Source organism: Homo sapiens, chromosome 17 (assembly GCF_000001405.40).
Source record: "Homo sapiens chromosome 17, GRCh38.p14 Primary Assembly".
Classification (NCBI taxonomy): Eukaryota; Metazoa; Chordata; class Mammalia; order Primates; family Hominidae; genus Homo; species Homo sapiens.
The window spans coordinates 57,371,703-57,392,007 of record NC_000017.11 but is presented as its reverse complement, the minus strand read 5'-3'; the positions used below and the strand labels follow the sequence as shown (position 1 = coordinate 57,392,007).

Sequence of the window (20,305 nt, the reverse complement as noted above, 5' to 3'; positions counted from 1 at the left end):
GCCGCTGCCCCCCAGTGCTCACCACACGGTGATTCAGACCCACTATGGGGAAGACCCCAAAGACTTTCTCAAGTGTTTGAATGATTACCAATACACTGATGCAATTAAAACCCATAATCTTTTACAACAGTGGTATTAAGCAAAATTAAGTAAGAAACCTTCACTGTTTTTGAATCTGCGAGGAAGTCGTGCATTTCTGCATACAAAAGAGGCCCCTCTAAAGCCCCAGCATGAGAAAGGCAGCCAAAGCAGATTCTTAATAAACCTCAGAAAGAGGTGGGAAAGAAAGAGCCAGACAGGATGGTGGGGTTGGTATGAACTCAGTCTTTCCATCTGTGCCTGTCACTCCAGCAGTGGGAGCCCGAGTTGCCCACCCAGGGTGGAATTCTTCTGAAGATGCACAGATGACTCACGGTGAGGGGTAGGGCCCTAGAAATGGTGGCACGATGGTCTCAGGGTCCCATGACTAAAGCACAGGCCCAAGGTCATTCTGCCTACAGAAATGATGCAAATACAACAATAATAGGAAGTTCCCATTTTCAAGCACACCTATGTAAACTGAGACATGCTAAATAACTGACCCTGGTTTCTCAGATGAGGTTGGGTCAAGTCTCCTAACAGTTCCGAGCCTCACGTTCTCCGTTCTATAAAACAGGCCTAGGACACTGGCTGAAATAACACAAGCTGAAACAACAAATGTGAAATCGTAACCCTGAGAACACCATCCACACAAGGGTTCTGTCTCCTCCAGCGCAACCTTTCTCCCAGCTTCTCCTCCTGGCTGGAATCTCCTCAGTGCCTATTCCCACGCTGAGAAATGCCTGAGGCTCTTCACACCGGCTGTGCTCAGGGTAAAAGAAACCAGCCCAAGTACAGGCTGCAGGATTTAGGAACACACAACCTTGGTGACAAGCTCAGAGCTCCCAAATTGCTCTTTTCCCAAAACATTTCCATTTATCTGGGTAGCAACTACCAGGGAAAATGGTTTCTACACAAAAGTTGAGCATGTCAAAGTTCCCTGTAAACAGAAGTAAATAGCCACCCCCGATCTATCATCTTGGGGAACCTCTGAGTCCTTCACTATGACATTTGGGAAACATCACAGACAGGCTGAGAAACCATGTTAGAAGGAATGGCCGAGACTACAGACCCTCGGATACACCACAACTTAAGGAAAACCAAGCTTCAGAGAGAAGCCAGACCAAGAGAGGATTTCCAGAGCCCATCTCTCCAGTAAACTGGGAGCCACCTGCCAGAACGAGGCCTGTTCTCATCAGCAACAATCTGGCCTGCTCTTCTTAGGAGCGAGTGTATAAAAACTTTGCTGGTAGGCAGGTTCTAAAGCCAAGTTACCCCATCCCCCAAACCCTCCAGTTGATTTCACGAAAAGAACAAATGGCAGCCTCAACCCTTAGCCTTGATTACCTTCATTACCATATTTTAGATGTACGTGGCAATCAGTTTCTGATGAGCAAGTTTTACCTAATCCACACACTGACACTCCTGTAGTGCAGAGGTTCTCAATTCTGGCTGCACATTCGCATGGCCTGCGGGGTGGGGGTCGTTAAAACTTACTGATACCTGGGCCCCACCCTCAGGGATCTCATTGGTTCAAGGTGAGACCTGGGCATCAGTATTTTTAAACACTCCCCAGAACATTCTAATATGCAGCCAGGGCTCTGTAAGAAGCTACTTCTGCCATCTAACGGGAAAAATGGCAAGGATAGAGGCCTCAACAAAAGCCAAGTTTTTTGAGACAGGGTCTTGCTCTGTCACCCAGGCCAGAGGCCAGTGGCATGACTATAGCTCACTGCAGCCTTAACTCCTGAGCTCCAGTAATCCTCCCATCTCAGCCTCCTGAGTAGAAGAGACTACAAGCATGCACACACGACCACATCTGGCTTTTTCTTTTCTTTCTTTTTTTTTTTTTTTGGTAAAGACAGGGTCTGGCTATGTTACGCAGGCTGGTCTCAAGCTCCTGGCTTCAAGTGATCCTCCTGCCTCAGCTTCCCAAAGGGCTGGGATTACAGGAGTGAACCACCATGCCTGGCCTTCAGATTCTTGTTCATTAAAACCCTTCCTGAGCATGAGGGGTGAAGAGCCACAGAAGAGCAGAAGGAGCCTGGGATTTCAACAAGAAACTGCTGGACTTGAGTCCTAGCTGGGTAATTTTAGGCAAACTACGCATAAAGTGGGGGCAATACCTATATGTCACAGAGCTGCTGTAAGCATCAAATTATTTTAATGCACCTGGCACGTAGTAGGTGTTGAAAAAAGGTTTGCTGAGTCCTGAGAAAGACCAAGAGGGTAAGAAAAGAAATGGCAGCTGAGTGTCTCCAGTGGCAAGCCATGTTCATTAATCCACTCTCTCATCAAACCTGTTGTGAGGACCCACTATGTGCCAAGCACTGCATGAGACCTCATCTCTGCTCCAAAGATGCTTACATTCAAGTAAGAGCCTGTGTTAGTTCTAGTATGGTAGAGCTGTGAGAGCACAGGGCTGGGCATGACCTGCAGCTTAAAGGTTAGCAGGGGAGAGCCAGGAAGAAAGGGGAGAAGGGCCTTTGCAGCCTGTCTGGCAGAAGGACTGTTAGTGGTCCCAAAAGACTGCAGCATAAGACATTGTGGGATGCAAGGAGGATAGGCCAGGCCCAACGGGAAGGCTGAATCTCTGTGGGGTTTAAACGGGAGAGTGACTTTTCAATCCAGCTATTAAAAAGAAGAGCAGGGGGCTCGGGCGCAGTGGCTCACACCTGTAATCCCAGTACTTTGGGAGGCCGAGGCAGGCGGATCATGAGGTCAGGAGTTTGAGACCAGCCTGGCCAATATGGTGAAACCCCGTCTGTACTAAAAATTCAAAAATTGGTTGGGTGTGGTGGCACATGCCCGTGGTCCCAGCTACTTGGGAGGCTGAGGCAGAAGAATTGCTTGAATCTGGGAGGCGGAGGTTGCAGTGAGCTGAGATGGTACCACTGCACTCCAGCCTGGGTGACAGAGTGAGACTCCGTATCAAAAAAAAAAAAAAAGAAGAAGAAGAAGAAGAAGAAGAGCAGGGGCTAGGTGCTGTAGCTCACGCCTGTCATCTCAGCACTCTGGGAGGCAGAGGCAGGTGGATCACTTGAGGTCAGGAGTTTGAGACCAGACTGGCCAACATGGCAAAACTCCACTTCTACTAAAAATACAAAAATTAGCCAGGTGTGGTGGTACACATCTGTAATCCCAGCTACTTGGGAGGCTGAGGCATGAGAATCACTTGAACCCAGGAGGCAGAGGTTGCAGTGAGCCAAGTTGGCACCACTGCACTCCAGCCTGGGTGACAAAGCAAGAAGTCTCCAAAAAAAAGAAAAAGAAAAAAGAAGAGTAGGGCCATTGGGTGGGGAGGCTGGGTGATCTTAACACTTAGATGTTGACAAGGAAGTAGAGAAAAAGGCATGAACCAGGAGCAAGACACCTGGACAGCAGTCCTAAGCAACCCGCATGCGGGCTAGGATTAGCTCCCCCACCAGCAGGTCCCTTCTTGCCCAGCTATTCTACTGTTCCAGAAACACCCCAGGAGCAAGAGAGCAAGTGGGGGCAGGTGGGGAAGGCATAAGAAGCGATAAGCACATTGCACCCTGAGCGCAGTGGTCTTTGGAAATACACTCAGCCATCTGTTAAGTCATAAATTTTACCTATCAAGAAAAAAAGTCAAATTCCCCCCAGCCCAGATATGCTGATCTGGCCTCTTCCAACCTCCACAAGTAACTTCCTTTGAGGGAAAAGGGGGAAACCCAAAGAAAGGCTTGTAGTAAAAGAGAGAGGCCAAAATCATCATGAGCAAGTCTCTCTGCCTTTTATTGAATGTCTCAACCCTCTAAGGACGGAAGATGATTTTTCTAAACCTAAGAGGGCCATAGAGGCTGAAAAGAGCATCAGATTTGAAGATTTTGGAGATTGGAAGGCCAGGTTCCAATCCCAGTGCCCTGAGCAGGCTGAAGGAGTGGAAAGAGGACAAACTCAGGCAACCCGATCCTGTAATGCATTTTACTAGGTGATCACTGCAAGTGACTGAGCTTCTCTAAACTTGTTCCTTCTTCTACAAAATAGTATTAAAAGAGATAACACATGAAACATGCTTATTTGGAATGGACTGCAATGACAGGCACACAATTAAGTCCCTCTTCCCCCTCCCCACCACCTTCCCTTCCCCACTAGTGACTTCACCTCTGTCTGCTCATCTGTGAATGGGGATCAAACCTTCCCTGCCTGTTTTATAGGCTAAACAACAGAAGGAAAAGTACTTGGAAAAGGCATGACACACACTCTATAAATTAAATACTAATTATTATGAATTCTACTACCCTTGATTTCTCAGACACCACCCTGAATCAATCCATCGCCAGCCCATCAACTTCCAATGGTTAGAGATGCTCTAGCAAAAATGATATGCTACCTCAACACAAGGCAGTGTCTTTATCTGCCTTAACCTAGGTAGCTCCTGACCCTGTAAAGAGTAACAGACTGTTGCACATTAGGAAGATCACTCTCTATGAGATAAAGCTGGCCATGCCTCGGAGGTAATATTTCTCTGCTACACCAATATCCTAATACATCCATGCTCTCCACATGCCAGGAACATATTTCTATAAATCCTCACATAAAAGAAAACTTATTTTCCAGAGGGATAAACAGAAGAGAAAAGGAAACAACAGTCGCAGCAAAAATATCACCAATCAAACAGAACTCAGTCCGCCAGGAACTTTACTAAATGTGTAGTGTTACAGATGTTTTATAGCCATGATGTCTGTTCTATTTAAAACACTTGCACTAGGCCAACCAAACAATGAAAAAGAAAAAAGGAAAAGATATATTCCCCAATGCGCCCAACCCAGCTAACTGGTCTGGGCTGGCTGTTTATTGAGGCAAAGAGGCAACTGGGGACCTGTAGCTGTCAGCCGGAACATGGAGGGCTCATTTTGTAGTTCACCCTGGAGGGCTGTCAAATCAGACACATGGCCCAGCAAATGGCGTGTGGCTCTCTCTGAAGGGCACTTCTGCCTGGAAGCCCAGGGTCTTCTAAGGGGAAGTTGCCCTGCACCTGGCAAGCACTTAACAAAATCTGGTTCCCTTCCCTCAAGAAAGAAAAATCTGTACAGTTAAACCTCATTTGTCCAACAACACTTAATCATTCCCTCCACAAACATTTGTTGAGTGTCTGCTACGTACAAGGTACTGGGCTAGGGACTCATAGTCAAATCAGCTGCCATCAGGATGCCCCACAGAAGGTGTGCTTCATAAGGGAGGGCCATGGTCAATGCACCCTCCAGCATGGAGGCTTCAGAAGGGAGGGTCGTGGTCAATGTCCCCTCCAGCATGGAGGCTTCAGAAGGGAGGACCATGGTCAATGCACCCTCCAGAATGGAAGCTTCAGAAGGGTTGTGGTCAATGCACCCTCTAGAATGGAAGTTAAGGACTTGCATCTGTTTGGTGCACCCCTGTATTCCTAGCACCTAAAAGAATGCCTAGCACATGGTAGGCATTCAATAAATATGGGTTGGACAAATGCTGGATGAATGTTCCCTGTTCTGAATTACTCTGTGGATTATTCTAGGTTCCTGGACACCCTACTTGTTTTCTCTCTTTCCCCTCAGGTAATCCCAAACACTCCTCACTGCTACACTGGGCACAAGCACTAAGAAGATAAAAGGCTTTGTTCCTACGAAGAACAGCTGGCCAAAGTTCTGTTCAGCAGCCACTGAGGACCCAAGCAGAAAGTGCCACAATCAGAGGATGATGTTAGAAGATAAAGTTAGAACATCAGAAGATGAAGTTAGATGAAGTCAGACAAACCCTTCCAGGCTACTTGGACACGCACAGCTGGTGATTCGATAGGGGTATCTTTATATCTAAAAAAGACCATTGGTGACTCTTGATAAGAAATCAGTCAAAAGGTCAAGTAAAATAGGGAAGGGCCAGAAACCACTGGCATTCATAGATTCTAGGACAACTGCCATTGTCTGTATTACCTACTCCTGATTCATTCCAATCGACATCAACCATTAATGAGCACCTAACAGGAACTGGGATCCCAGACTACAAGATTTCGTTCTGTGCCCTTGAAGATCTCCCAGACACCTAACACACACCATGGTATGGTATGCAAAAGAGACAGGTGTAATAAAATGGTTACCTGAAGCTGCTAAATTTGAGGGTAATTTGTTCCACAGCAACAACAACTATAACACAGAAGTCAGACCAGTCAGGGAAATATGATGAACTATGTCAGTAGAGTCAGGGCAGGCTTGAAAGAGGAGATGCTTGGCTAGGGTTTGAAATGATGAGCAGCAGGAGTTTTTTTGTTTTGTTTTTTGTTTTTTGAGACAGAGTTTTGCTCTTGTTGCCCAGGGTGGGGTGCAACGGCACTATCTCAGCTCACTGCAACCTTCAACTCCCAGGTTCAAGCGATCCTCCTGCCTCAGCCTTGTGAGTAGCTGGGATTACAGGCATGTGCCACCATGCCTGACTAGTTTTTTGTATTTTTAGTAGATGGGGTTTCACCATGTTGGCCAGGCTCGTCTCGAATGAGCAGAAGTTTTTCAGGAAGACAAGAGAGAAGGGCAGACAGAGTCACAGCAGCATGGAATATCATTGCTTGTTTCAGGCACTAAACTTTTGGATTGCTAGAAGTCAAGTGAAAAGGAGGGTCTGAGGGGAGATGAGGATGGAGACATGAACAAGGGTTATATCACAAGAAGTCTTGCAGACCATAACAAAGAAGACTGGACTTCATCCTGTAGACAAAGGGTAACCATTTTAAGCTGGGGAATAACATGACCAGCTTTGTGTTTTAGATAGGTTATTCTGTAGAGGATGGATCTGAGAGGTTGAAAATAGAGCCTGTAAGAACGGTTAGGAGCTTATCATAATAGTTCAAGATGAAGGGACCCTGAACTAAAGCAAGGATCATTTGCATAACAAAGAGGGAAAAGATTTAAGAGAGAGTAGGAGACAAAATTATCAGGACTGGGTAAATGGCCAAAGGCAGAAAGGAGGGAGAGGGAAGGGTCTTGAGTTTACTGGGTGGCTGATGGTGGTGTCACCAATTGAGATAGGGGATGCAGAAGCAGCAGGTTTGCAGAGGAAAGATAAATGTGTTCACTTTGAGTATGTTAAATTTTCAGTGTCTGTAGGACAATCTGTGTATCTGCTCTGGAACTCAAGAGAAAGATCAGACTAAATTCACCAACATCTAGTGGCCACTGAAATCATGGGAGTGGATGTGATGATGGGGTAGAGTAAAAGCAAGGACAAGAACAGTTTCAGGAGTTAGCCAGCATCTTTTGGAAACCCAAAGCACCACTCACTGAACTAGGGGAGGAGGAAGAAAAACTGCTTTGCCAATTGCAGCACATGGTTCCTTGGTCTCTGTCCCTCCCCTCGAGTCTGAGGGAGCTTCTGACTACTTCAACCAACAGAGGACAGAAGAAGGGATGAACATGAATTTCAATGCTGAGTCATAAAAAGGTGCTGCAGCTTCCAGCTTGTTCACTAGAACACTTACACTTGGAGCCCTGAGCCACCAAGCAAGAAGTCCCACTCCTCTGAAGCCACCATATTGTAAGGAAGCCCAACCATATAGACAGACCACATGTAGGAGCTCCATTCTTTGAATCATCCCAGTTCAGGAGCCAGACATATGAGTGAACAAGCCTTCAGATAATTCCAGCCCCTTGCCATCATGTCTCCCCTTGATTTCAAGTCTTCCCAGCTGAGGTCCTACACCAGGTGAAAAAGAAACCAGCTGTCCCTGCTATGCCCCATCCAAATTTCTGACCTGAGACTCCATGAGCATAATAAAATTGTTACCTGAAGCTGCTAAATTTGAGGGTAATTTGTTCCACAGCAACAATAACTATAACACAGAAGTCAGGCCATTTCAAATAGAAAGGAAGGGTCAACAGTGTTCAATATCACAAAGATGTTTAGTAGGATGAAGAGTCAGTTTTCAGTTTCACTGGATCCAGATCTCAGCCACACACTTCCCATGATGGATCTGGGTGCTTGCTGGGCCAGCAGTCTACACGCAGCTATCAGCAAACTCTGAGCTGCCACGTGAGCAAGTCTCCCAGACAGGCCCATGGGTGCACCAAGCCGTGGAGTGACCTGGCAGTCTCTGGTTAGTTGTATTCATTGGGGGTAAACCTCGCTGCTGATGGCATTGAAAGATTTATCCATAAATATGATAACCACCCCCAAGGCACACCACCATATGCTTGTAGTGGTCAACTCTGCCTTTAGAAAGGCAGGAGTCTAAAATGTCAGTTTTTTCTGGGTAGAAATGATTTCTATTTTATTATTTTATTTTTTTTAGACGGAGTCTTGCTCTGTTGCCCAAGCTGGAGTGCAATGATGCAATCTTGGGTCACTGCAACCTCCGCCTCCTGGGTTCAAGCGATTCTCCTGCCTCAGCCTCCCAAGTAGCTGGGATGACAGGCATGCACTGCCATGCCTCACTAATTCTTTTTTGTATTTTTAGTAGAGACAGGGTTTCACCATGTTGGCCAGGCTGGTCTCGAACTCCTGACCTCAGGTGATCCACCCGCCTTGGCCTCCCAAAGTGCTGGGATTACAGGCATGAGCCACCGCACCCAGCCTAGAAATGGTTTTTATATCTATTATCATTGTAAATGTCAGTAGTTCCAAACAGCCACCTTAAAACAGGCTGATGGGCGATGTATTTTTAAGAGGCCTTTCTTGCCCTTGCCAAAGGCCCTCCTCCTCTTCCTAGGCAAAATCTGAATTCTTAAAACTCAGGGTACATCTAAAACTATGATAATCTTGTATAGTTGTTCTCCAAGTGGCATCTGTGGCTCAGAACAACTCATTTCCTGTCCAGCCATTAAGTCTCTGGGTCTCTGTCCTTGCTGGGAAATGAAGCATTCCTCTCCCTGGACACAGACCCTGTTCTACAAGCCTCCTTGGTCCTCCACCCTGTTCCTGCTGTTCACAGGCCCTTTCTTCCTCAAACCTTCTCTGTGTCCCAAAGTGAATCCAGGGCAAATGAACATGTTCAAACACAGGGACTGAGACACCTGGGACATAGCAGAGTACTCAGTCTGCACAAAGAGATGCCTAGAAATAGCATAAGAGCCAATGGTACAATTACCCAAAGGAGAGACCTGATCTTATTAGACTTTTGCTTTCTCAAAATTTCATCGTAAGACATTTGGCTTAGTTTTAACTGTCCTTTAATAAACACAATTTCTGAGCAGCTACTTGGAATAAATCCCTATGGGAAGAACAGAAGTAATAACTGGGACCACTGTCCTCGTGGGTGGAGGGGGTAATATGTTAATCAGGGAGGCAGGGTATCTGCAGAGCCATCAAAAATTGCCAGCAGGGTTTTCTAGCCCTTTGTTATCAGTTTCCCAACTAACATTGAAGCTTCATCTTCCTGTTCTGTCTACCCTCTATGCTCCAACCACATGTCTCTGACCACTGCTCACATTTCCACACCCCAGATCTTCATTCAAGCTGTTCCCTCACCCAGGAATATCCTCCCACCTGTCTTTACCTCCTATCACGATTCTCAGACCCTCAAGTCTTGGTCCAAATGTCTGTGCTCAAATGTCACCATCTCCACTAGGCCTTCCTTAACTACTCCATTGAAAACTTCAATTCCGCCCACACCTCAGCACTCCCTAGACCTTCTCCCAGCCTCTCATCTTCTAGCACATTCTATAATTTGCTTGTTTTATTTCTCACCTGTCCCCCTCCTACCAGAAAGTAAGCTTTCTGGTCAGGAATTTTGTCTGTTTTGTCCACAGATGTATTCCCAGTACCTGGGCCATTCAGTGACATGCAATAAATATTTACTGAATGAATGAATGACCATCCTAAAGCATCTCCCCAACACCCCTCAGTCACATACACTATTGTTTTCTCTACACCTGCACAGGATGTAAACTATTCCTGAAGAGTAGCATTTCATTTCATTCTGCTTCCTATTATCACTAAGTATTTACCCGTTAGGTTTAAGTTCCTTGAAGGCAGAGACCATGTCTTTTCATCTTTGCATCCCCCAAAGCACTGGTGGTGCTCAAGTATATAGTCTATTGAATTTAACTTAAAAATCAAATTGCGTGGAAAATAGGCAAAGAATGCATAAGCTCACACGACTCTACACCTAAGTGATTTCTCAAGCCTTTTCTTGTGAGCAGAATACAGTGCCAGGGCCTCTGAAAATACAAAGATAAGCAAGATGCACACAGAATAGCACCAGCCACACATGGCTACTGAAGTTAAATTGTAAATTAATTAAAATGAAGTGCCATTAGCAATTCAGTTCATGGTCACCCTAGCCACATTTCAAGTGCTCCATGCCCACGTGCATTAAGATGAGCATTTCCTCCATCACAGAAAGTTCTATAGGACAGCAGTGACACCGACAGTCTTGTCCTCAATATGTAACCTGCTACTGGGGCATACAGGACAGGAACAAGAAGGACCAGGGGGAACAATAAGGTAACAGGTTCTAAAAGAACCAGCAGAGGCCATAGGGCTAGGAGGAGGGAGGGTCACTGCCTTGGGGAGGGAAGAAAGCAGAAGAGGCTTCAAGGAAGGGGAGATATTTGAGATGAGCCATTTAAAAATGGGTGGGTTTGGCCAGGCACGGTGGCTCACGCCTATAATCCCCGCACTCTGGGAGGCCGAGACAGGCAGATCGCTTGAATCCAGGAGTTCAAGACCAGCCTGGGCAACATGGTGAAACCCTGTCTCTAAAAAAAATACAAAAATTAGCCAGGTGTGGTGGTACACCTGTAGTCCCAGCTACTAGGGAGGCTGAGGTGGGAGGATCATTTGAGTTCAGGAGGTTGAGGCTGCAGTGAGCCATGATCATGCCACTGCCCTCCAGCCTGGGCAACAGAGTAAGACCCAGTCTCAAAATAAAAATAAAATTGAGAAGTAAATGGGTAGGGTTTTCCAGGCAAAAGAAAGGGAGGTCAGGCCAAGGAAGAGCCACTGGTGTGGGAGCTGGGGGTATGTGTAAGATGGGGGTCAGGGGAGCCAGAATTCCAGGCCAGGACTGCTGAAGACCCCCTGAGAACCTGGATGGGGGAGCACAGACAGACCACCAGAGAGAAAGCCAGAAGGATAACTCGATGCCAAGATCTCCATGGGTAACAGGGACATCAGCACACACAGAAGTGAGAGAAGGTACACACCTGGTGGTGTCAGGTATAGGACTAGCCAACTACTTTACCCTTGGTGCTGGAAGAGTAACAGATGTCCAAATTCAAAGCACCCAGGTGCTCACAAAAGCAGAATCCCCCTGCCCTCTTAGACTGTTGGTATCTAGAAGGCAAAACCCACATCCACTTGGTTGTTTGGGGGTAGGGGGCTGAAGGACTAACCCTTTAGTCCAGCACATTTCACCAAGGACTGTCTAAAGACCTCACTTTGAATAAATCCCAGTGGGCACTTACAGGTCCCCCAGCTTGCCCCCGCTTCACTCTCCCTGTTAGGAGGCCAGAACGATGGGGGCCTTCCAAGTTTCTAACTTGCTGACAAGCACCGCTACTAACCAAAATGAAAGTCTGGGTGGCTCTGCCTCAGAAGCCGCCGCTTAGAAACCCAGGGGCACACACTCCACTCAAGTTCAGCAGGCCTACCTTCCACGGTCCTGCCCAGGCCGCCCGCTGTGGGTTAAAGACTTGATTTACGCACGCTCTGGGGGCTCAGCATGGACCAATTCCAGACGTAGAACAGGGCCTTAACCAGGTGCTTAAGATGCAGGGCACAACGTGGTTAATGCTATTGTGGGTGGCTCCACAAAGACATGGGTGCGTTTCAGCAAACAGCTAATAATAAGAGCGGGAAGAGGGGAGAGGTGGAAACAGTCATCCTGGCATTGGCTGGGGTTCATCCTCCTCCCACCCCCTAGCACGGCACCTCTGTGACAACTTGCTTCTATCTCCAATTAGCCTATTTTCAGCAGCCAATACCCAATATGCTAGGCCTTCTATTCAAGAGCCTTTATCTAACATGCACATACTTTGCAGAAAAGAAAAAGGAAAAGGAAAACAAAAAAAAGAAAGAAAAGAAAGGATTTCTAAAGTGGCCAGGCCAAAAAACAAAGAGAAGTTGGGAGGGGTGGGGAGTCACCGTATTCGAGAACAAAGAAAACTCTGGAAACCCCTGGAAGAGCACTGCCTGCCTCTTCCTATTAAACAATCAAGAGCTGACCGGGTGCTGAACGCATAGCCACTGAGGAGGGTTAAGAGGGCGAGGGGCCACTCCAGGGGCCCCACTTCTCTCCCCACAGCATCCAGCAGGCCCCTTATCGCCAGCCTGCAGGACAGCAGGGGCCTCTGCCTGTTTCAAGAGGGGACTGTGGTGAGAGGTAAAAGGGAGGAGAAGCCAATCCGAGAAGTAACTTCCTGATGGCCGACAGCTGACATTCTTAACTGAACACAGGATATGCCAAGAAAGTATCAGGCCTGGCTTTTCTCTCCCTGATAGATGACAAAGCAAAAAAAAAAAAAAAGAAGAAAGAAAACGAAAAAACAACCACAGCCACACACATCTCATAAATCACGACTTTTATTGAAGGCTTCGCCACATAATAGCAACAGTCAAATTGAATAAAGACACCCTTCCATAAAGTACCAGTGAGAGACCACATCTCCCCCAGCCCAGGGTGGGCGGGAGGGAAAACTCAACCCTGACTCAGAGAAGGGTTTGGGGAAAGTAGATCGAGTAGTAGAGGCAGGTGGTAGTTTTTTTAGGTTTTTCTCAAAACACGGAAACCTGGCAGCCAAGAGAAGTGGGGTGAGCTGAGAGCAGGGCCACACGAGATCACAACAAATGCATGAGGGAGGATGTCAGGGTTTTGTTCCTGAAGGGTCTGGGGTGGGTGAGTTTGATGAGGGGATGGAGAGTGAAATAACAACCTCTGGTCGGTCTGCAGAACACACGCAAAAGAGCAAAAGCGAGATAGACCCAGGTAGGCAACTGAACCCTGTCAGAGGACTGCAGACCCCACACGCAGGCTGATGGCTCACATATAACACAAACTCAGCCACTTAGCACAGGTAGCATTTTGGGCCCATGTCGCTGTGAGAAGAATGCAGCTTCCACTCATTTACTGTCCCAGTCATTCCACATTGGGTGCAGAGTCACAGAGGGATAATTCAGTTTGGGGCAAGTCCTTCCTCATGGGTGGCTGGTTCACTCTGGAACCTTCTCCCCAGTGGACCACACTCAAAGCCTGGTATGCCAACACCCCTAAACTTGGGCAAACTAAGAAATTAAGAAGATAAACAAGAAATGGGCCGGGCATGGTGGCTCACTCCTGTAATCCTAGCACTTTAGGAGGCTGAGGCAGGCGGATGGCTTGAGGCCAGGAGTTTGAGACCAGCCTGGCTAATACGGAGAAACCCTGCCTCTACTAAAAATACAAAAATTGGCCGGGCACAGTGGCTAACGCCTGTAATCCCAGCACTTTGGGAGGCCAAGGCAGGCAGATCACTAGGTCAGGAGATCGACACCAGCCTGGCCAACATGGTGAAGCTCCACCTCTACTAAAAATAGAAAAATTAGCTGGGTGTGGTGGCGTTCGCCTGTAATCCCAGCTACTCGGGAGGCTGAGGCAGGAGAATTGCTTCAACCCGGGAGGCGGAGGTTGCAGTGAGCCGAGATTACATCACTGCACTCCAACCTGGGCAACAGAGTGAGACTCTATCTCAAAAAAAATAATAAAAACAAAAAACAAAATTTAGCCGGACATGGAGGTACATGCCTGTAATCCCAGATACTCAGGAGGCTGAGGCTACAGTGAACCAAGATTGTGTGCGCCATTGCACTCCAGCCCGGGACACGACAGAGCAAAACTCCGCCTCAAAAAAAAGAATGTCCATAATGCCTTCACTTTTTTTTTCTTTTTTTTTTTTTTGAGATGATGTCTCGCTCTGTCACCCAGGCTGGAGTGCAGTGGTGCAATCTCGGTTCACTGCAAGCTCTGCCTCCCAGGTTCACGCCGTTCTCCTGCCTCAGCCTCCCGAGTAGCTGGGACTACAGGTGCACACCACCACGCCTGGCTAATTTTTTGTATTTTTAGTAGAGACGGGGTTTCACCATGTTGGCCAGGATGGTCTTGATCTCCTGACCTCGTGATCCACCCGCCTTGGCTTCCCAAAATGCTGGGATTACAGGCGTGAGCCACTGTGCCTGGCCATGCCTTCACTTCTGAAGTGGGATGGAGCGAGTGGAAGACAGGTTCTATCTAGTTCTATCCTCCTTCTCCTCTACTACTCATCAAAACAAATTAGCTTTTTTTTTTAAAGTAATGAAGAGCAAGGGGGAACAAATGAATGCATGTCTTTCCAAATTCTGCCATTTGCAGAATCCAGGGAAATATAGTCAAATATATCAGAAGTCCTTGTTGTAAAGATGATGACTTCCATAGGGCAGGTCACTGAGAAGGTGAAGGGGCATGAAGCTCTAAGCACAGGAGGCCTCCCTTCCAAAAACACTTGCTGGACTGAACTGTGGAGAATCCCTGCTCACCTGGGCAGAGCCCCAAATTCCCTGTCCTTTCCCCGACACAGAATTCCAACTGTGGAGCCAGCCACAGTGATGCAACACATGAGGTGATGTAACAGGGCAGAAGGATATCTAAGGAAAGAAGTGGATGCCCTGATTCAAGTCAGAGTTAAAGATTAGCAGACTCGTACCTGAGGGAAGTCAGGCTTGGCTCATTCCTTCCTTCTGAACTGACTATCCCAAGTAGGTTAAAAAAGTATTTGTGGGCCGGGCACGGTGGCTCACGCCTGTGGTCCCAGCACTTTGGGAGGCCAAGGTGGGCAGATCACAAGGTCAGGAGATCGAGACCATCCTGGTAAACACAGTGAAACCTCGTCTCTACTAAAAATACAAAAAATTAGCTGGGCGTGGTGGCGGGCGCCTGTAGTCCCAGCTACTTGGGAGGCTGAGGCAGGAGAATGGCATGAACCCAGGAGGCGGAGCTTGCAGTGAGCCGAGATCGCGCCACTGCCCTCCAGCCTGGGGGACAGAGCGAGACTCCGTCTCAAAAAAAAAAAAAAAAGGCACTTGCAGGTCAACGTGACACCCAGAATGACCATGTTCTTCCCCTTTCCTGGGTCGGGGGTGGGAGGAACCCAGGGGAAGGTGGGATCTTATTGACATGCAGGTCTTGGCAGCAAATGTTGCCCAAAGGCAAAGGGCAGATATTCTCAAGTCCAGAAAGCAACTGAGATGCCATATTTTCCCAAAAGAGGAAGACGCTATTTCTGAAAGGCTAAGTTTGAGCCAATCAGCTGCTCATAAACAGAAAACTCTTCAAAGGGGTAAGGAAGACAACGGTGGGCCTCAGGATTTTTATTTCTGCTGTCTACCTTTAGGAGAATGGAAAAATCACAACCGAAAACCCAGATCTCCAGTCAATCTAGCAGAAGTTTCTCCAACTCCAGAACACGGGGTCATGAGAAGTCAGGGTCTCACCTGCCGTGCTTGGCCCATTTGACTGTGTGCCCTTCAGGGGCTCCCTACCTAGGCGAGAAGGGATTTGAGCAATGAAAACCAAGTCCAAGTGGACACCAGCTTGCACTGAAGGAGAGGGCAATAAATTGGATCCAGACCGGGATAGGGTTCCCAGACCTGCTGTCTGCTGGCTACTTGGCCCTGAGCAAGACTCTTCATCCCTTTGAGCCTTCGTTTCCTCATCTATGAAATGGGACATTTCCAAAGTATTGTATACCTTTTCTCCAGGGATCAAATCAGATTCTATGTGAATGTGCTTTGCCAACCTGAAAGGGCACTGGAGGTATCAGTCTTGACGACCTGCCAAGCAACTCACCCACCACTTGTTCAAACATGTGATTTTCCTATCTCAGACATCCTGTAACAGGGCCTGAGGGGAAACTGGAGAGAAGGAACTCTAATCCCACATTGGCGTCAATAGCCGATCACCTAAAGCGAGAAATCTTCTCTCAGGAAGATAAGGGAACCCACATATCACCTAATTAAAGCAAGCAGCTGCACACAAGTTCAAAGGCGGGACAGGCTGACTCAGCCTGCTGCTCCTGGGCGGTCAGAGTGAGCATCGGCTAACGCGGCCTGGGGTGCCTTGGCTACAGGAACAGACATCTACCTGTAAGGGCAACGCGAATGAAAGGAGAAGGATGGGGGCAGGGGAGTCTCGTCATCCTTTATCTCTAAATTTATCTCCTATTTGCACTCAACACCACTCCCCATTCCCCGAAATGGCTGTATCTCAGAGTCCCCCAAATATGTTCACTCAGAGTGGCCTCTGTGCCTCCATTCTTGCTGGGCAGGCCTTAATAACACTGCCTGAAGTCATTATTGAATTCTTAAGTAGAAGAATGTGATAATGTTACATCATCATCTCCTCCTCCTCCTCCCTCAACTATTCCAAGAAGCTCTGGCTGGCTTCACAGCCCCACTCCCCACGCCGTGATCCCATGGCTTCCATGCTGCCTGGCATACAATCCTCCGTATTCCATCACCATTTCTACTCGCTCAGAAATTGTTTCCTGGCAAGGCTTCACCCACCTGAATAGGAAAATAAATGCCTCTGAAGACAGAACTGCATCTTTGCCTCTTGAGTTTCCTCTCCTCGGCTCCTGGCTCTATACCACAAAGCAGAATGTTTTACAAACAGCCACGGGGGAAGTGCGGCTGACCTACTTGACTAGCTAGAGGCCTGGGAAGGCTGCTGACCACCGCTTGTCAGAGGCTTAAATTTGCTGATCACTACACTTTGTGCCATCTCTCGCTCCATTTTTGACCCTCTATCTAGTGCTCTCTTCCTTCTTCTTCCATAAGTCTGATTTTCAATGTAGTCATGCTGGATGTTTGTGGATAAGCCTCACCATTTAGTAAAGATGCTGCATTAACCCAGGCAAATCTAAACTCAGAGCTGTGTGAACACCAAGCACTCAGCCGCCACACCAACAAGCTGGCAATGACCAGGAAGAGCAAATAATGATGTTCGATCTGTATGGGGAATGTTCAGGGATGTCCTGAAGTCTCACTAGAGATGCTGAAGAGATGGAAACCAAGATGATCATTCCCATAGCAGGCAAGACTAGTGCTCTGGCTGCCATCTTGCCTAAAGCACATCCCAAATGTCAACTGGACATGGAATAAATGCTAAGTGGTCTCCTTGCTAGATCAAAGATAAGCATTTATTTATTTATTTTTATTTATGAGATGAAGTCTCACTCTACCGCCCAGGTTGGAGTGCAGTGGCATAATCTCGACTTACTGCAACCTCTGCCTCCTGGGTTCAAGCAATTCTCCTGCCTCAACCTCCCGAGTAGCTGGGATTACAGGCGCTGCACCACCATGCCCAGCTAATTTTTTGTATCATTAGTAGAGATGGGGTTTCACTATGTTGGCCAGGCTGGTCTCGAACTCCTGACCTCAGGTGATCCACCTGCCTCAGCCTCCCAAAGTGCTGGGATTACAGGCGTGAGCCACTGTTCCTGTCAAGCATCTTTTTAAATTTTGGATTTTGAGGGAAAATGTAGGTTCCTCAATAGTATAAGGTAAATAAAACCAGGAAAAGGGCAGGAAAAAAATATTGAGGAAGTTAAAGTTTTAGGGACAAATATCAGGATACAAGTTCAAGGGCTAGAAAGGGAAACTTCAATACTCAAGTTGGAATTGGATTTGAATTGAATTTCAGTCACATTAAGTATAAACTACCACATACCACTTATGCCTAGGGTTGCAAAAATGCAACAGGACTTCAAATGATATATCCTAAAACAGTACAATGTAGTGCTGCCACCCTATTGACGCTATGTTTCTGCATATAGCTTCTGTCTTTGTCTGTCTTAAATTCTGGACAATTCTCTAGTTGTCTGGCTGCTTTTTTGTTTTTGTTTTTTGCTTCTCTGCCAGTCTACCTTGCATGGCCATAACACAGAACTGAAGTCTATTTCTTATCATTTGATCTGTTTACTAAGTAGACATGGTAAATCGGTCCCCATCATCCAGTCCAACCTCCTCGCCATAAGCCTTTCTGTTATGCAGGATCTGGAAAATTAAGGAGTAATATTCCAGGTTCCCTTGCAGCTAGGTATGAAAGGGAAAGTAGTATATTCTGTACTTTAACTATTTCCCCTGGCAACATGGCCAGGGAGGTGTTAGGTTATTCTGCAGCAATATCCTCTGTCTCTACTGACTAGTCATGGAGAACCTATTTTGCTGGAGATCACAGCAGGACAGTGGCAGCCATGGAGGCCTTCGGATGGGGACAGTGCGGCTGTGGTTCTGAACCTGGCAGCTGTAGCACCATCTTCCCAATTTGGTGGGGACTTCCAGATGACAGAAGAGACAGTAGGTATTTGAAGACCCAGATCTGCTGCATAGCTCTGAGGGCTGTTCCCAAAAGCACAACCTAGAGGTTTCCGTGTATCTCCTGATGATTTCTGGAAGCATTTTAATGCCCTCAAACAAATTCCTTTCTGCTTAAACCAGATGGGAGTGGATTCAGCTCTCTGCAACTGAAACTAGACTAACACACGGCCTTTGTTCTTGTTTTTAAAAAATAGATCAATATCTTCATTTAAAAAGAAAAAAGGACACAAACTAGAACCTGAAATCTGTTTTGTTCCTAACTGGCTGATTGACCTGGGGTGAGGCAATTACTAATGTTTGTTGGGCCTCAGTTTTCTTATCTGTAAAATGAGAGGGTGAAATTTGATCTCCCAGGATCTTAACACACCTAATATTTGGTGATTTTTTTTTTTTGACAGGCTGGAGTGCAGTGGCGCAATCTCAGCTCACTGCAACCTCCGTCTCCTGGGTTCAAGCGTGCCTCAGCCTCCCAAGTGGCTGGGACTACAGACACACACCACCACGCCCAGCTAATTTTTGTATTTTTTGGCAGAGACAGATATGTCTCTACCACTATGTTGGCCAGGCTGGTCTTGAACTCCTGACCTAAGGTGATCCACCTGCCTTGGCTTCATAAAGTGTCGGGATTACAGTCGTGAGCCCCTGTGCCCAGCCATATTTGGTAATTCTAAATCCAGATGCCCTTTATTTTCATAATTCTGAATTTATTTTTGCAGTCAATTAATCAATACGATCGATCCCTCTTGGCAGGAAAAAAAAACAAAACTGTCCTCATTCTCATTGGGGTGGCGGATTTCAAATCACATTCAGAAACACCAGATTGCCAGGTAAGAAAACTTCATTTTCAACTGGAGCTGGACATCTCCTTTAAAGCGTGAATAGGGGCGATGAACAGTACACCCTTTTATAGTTTCTTCTAGAAAGGGGAACACTACTATTGGTTTCTGTATCATTTATATTTTTTACAGCAGAAAGTATTCATTGATAATAAAATGTGTAATAAAAGAAACAGAAAATAGGCACAGCTTGTTTTCAAATTTCTGTTCATCTGTAACTTTTTTCCTCCAAAAAGAGAAAACATATCAATATGTTGACTATAATTATTTCTGTGTGGTGAGATCTCAGGTTTCATTTTATTTTTCCTACTTTTTGACATTTTCCAAATTTGCCACATTTGTAAACCCAAGCGGTAAAAAGACAGCAGGAATCTTCCTCATTCTCTTCCCTCTTCCCACATCTGTGGTGGCGGTTTCTTGGAACAGTTACACTGAAAGTTCTGATTCAGAGGAAAACTATTTCCATCTTCAAACTTGGATAAATGTTAACCAAATAAGATACACAGGTGGGTAGGTCAGTGTGTTGAAGATAAGTAGGTAAGTAAACAAATAAACCCGAAAGAGAGAGCTTTGCCAAACTACACTGAAGAGGGCTGTTTAAAATAAGCAATTCAAGTTGATCCAAGAAACCCCAATCTTTTTAAATTAAGCCTTCCCCTTCAGCACATATAAAAATGTTTACCATAAACACATCATTTTTACAAAAACAGTAATTTTTTTTAAATTAAGTTAATCTCTCAAACTTTTGGTGAGGTTAGAAAATAGTACCATTCTCCTTATCGGGAGGGCCAATGTAAGATAAAAAAAATTTTAAGAGATTATATATAAGTATATATATTACAAATTTTTTGATATTGTAAAGGAGATTATATATCTCATATATATAAGCTCCTTTATATATTTTTCATATATATTTATATGTAAAATCTCCTTCAAAATATCCATAGCCTTTAACCCCAAAATTCCACTTCTAGGTAAACATATTAAGGAAGTGATCAGAGATGTTGCTAAGGGGTTATGTACAAGGATATTCCACAATGTTACTTATAATAATAATAATAAATCACTAACCAGCTAACTAT

At 46.2% G+C, this 20,305-nt stretch overlaps 1 protein-coding gene across 10 annotated transcripts in view, besides 1 other annotated feature; it reads right to left on the bottom strand.

Annotated features, from left to right (window-relative positions):
* MSI2 (musashi RNA binding protein 2) overlaps nucleotides 1–20,305 on the bottom strand; it is a 445,731-nt gene that overhangs the window by 309,574 nt on the left and 115,852 nt on the right. The gene's annotated exons all lie outside the window — the stretch shown is intronic.
* Nucleotides 11,795–12,449: an enhancer, noted in NCBI's record as "NANOG-H3K27ac-H3K4me1 hESC enhancer chr17:55456920-55457574 (GRCh37/hg19 assembly coordinates)". NCBI's record gives its function as "activates a minimal SCP1, AML or CMV promoter by ChIP-STARR-seq in naive H9 embryonic stem cells {active_cell/tissue: H9 hESC(naive)}" and the evidence as "EXISTENCE:reporter gene assay evidence [ECO:0000049][PMID:30033119]".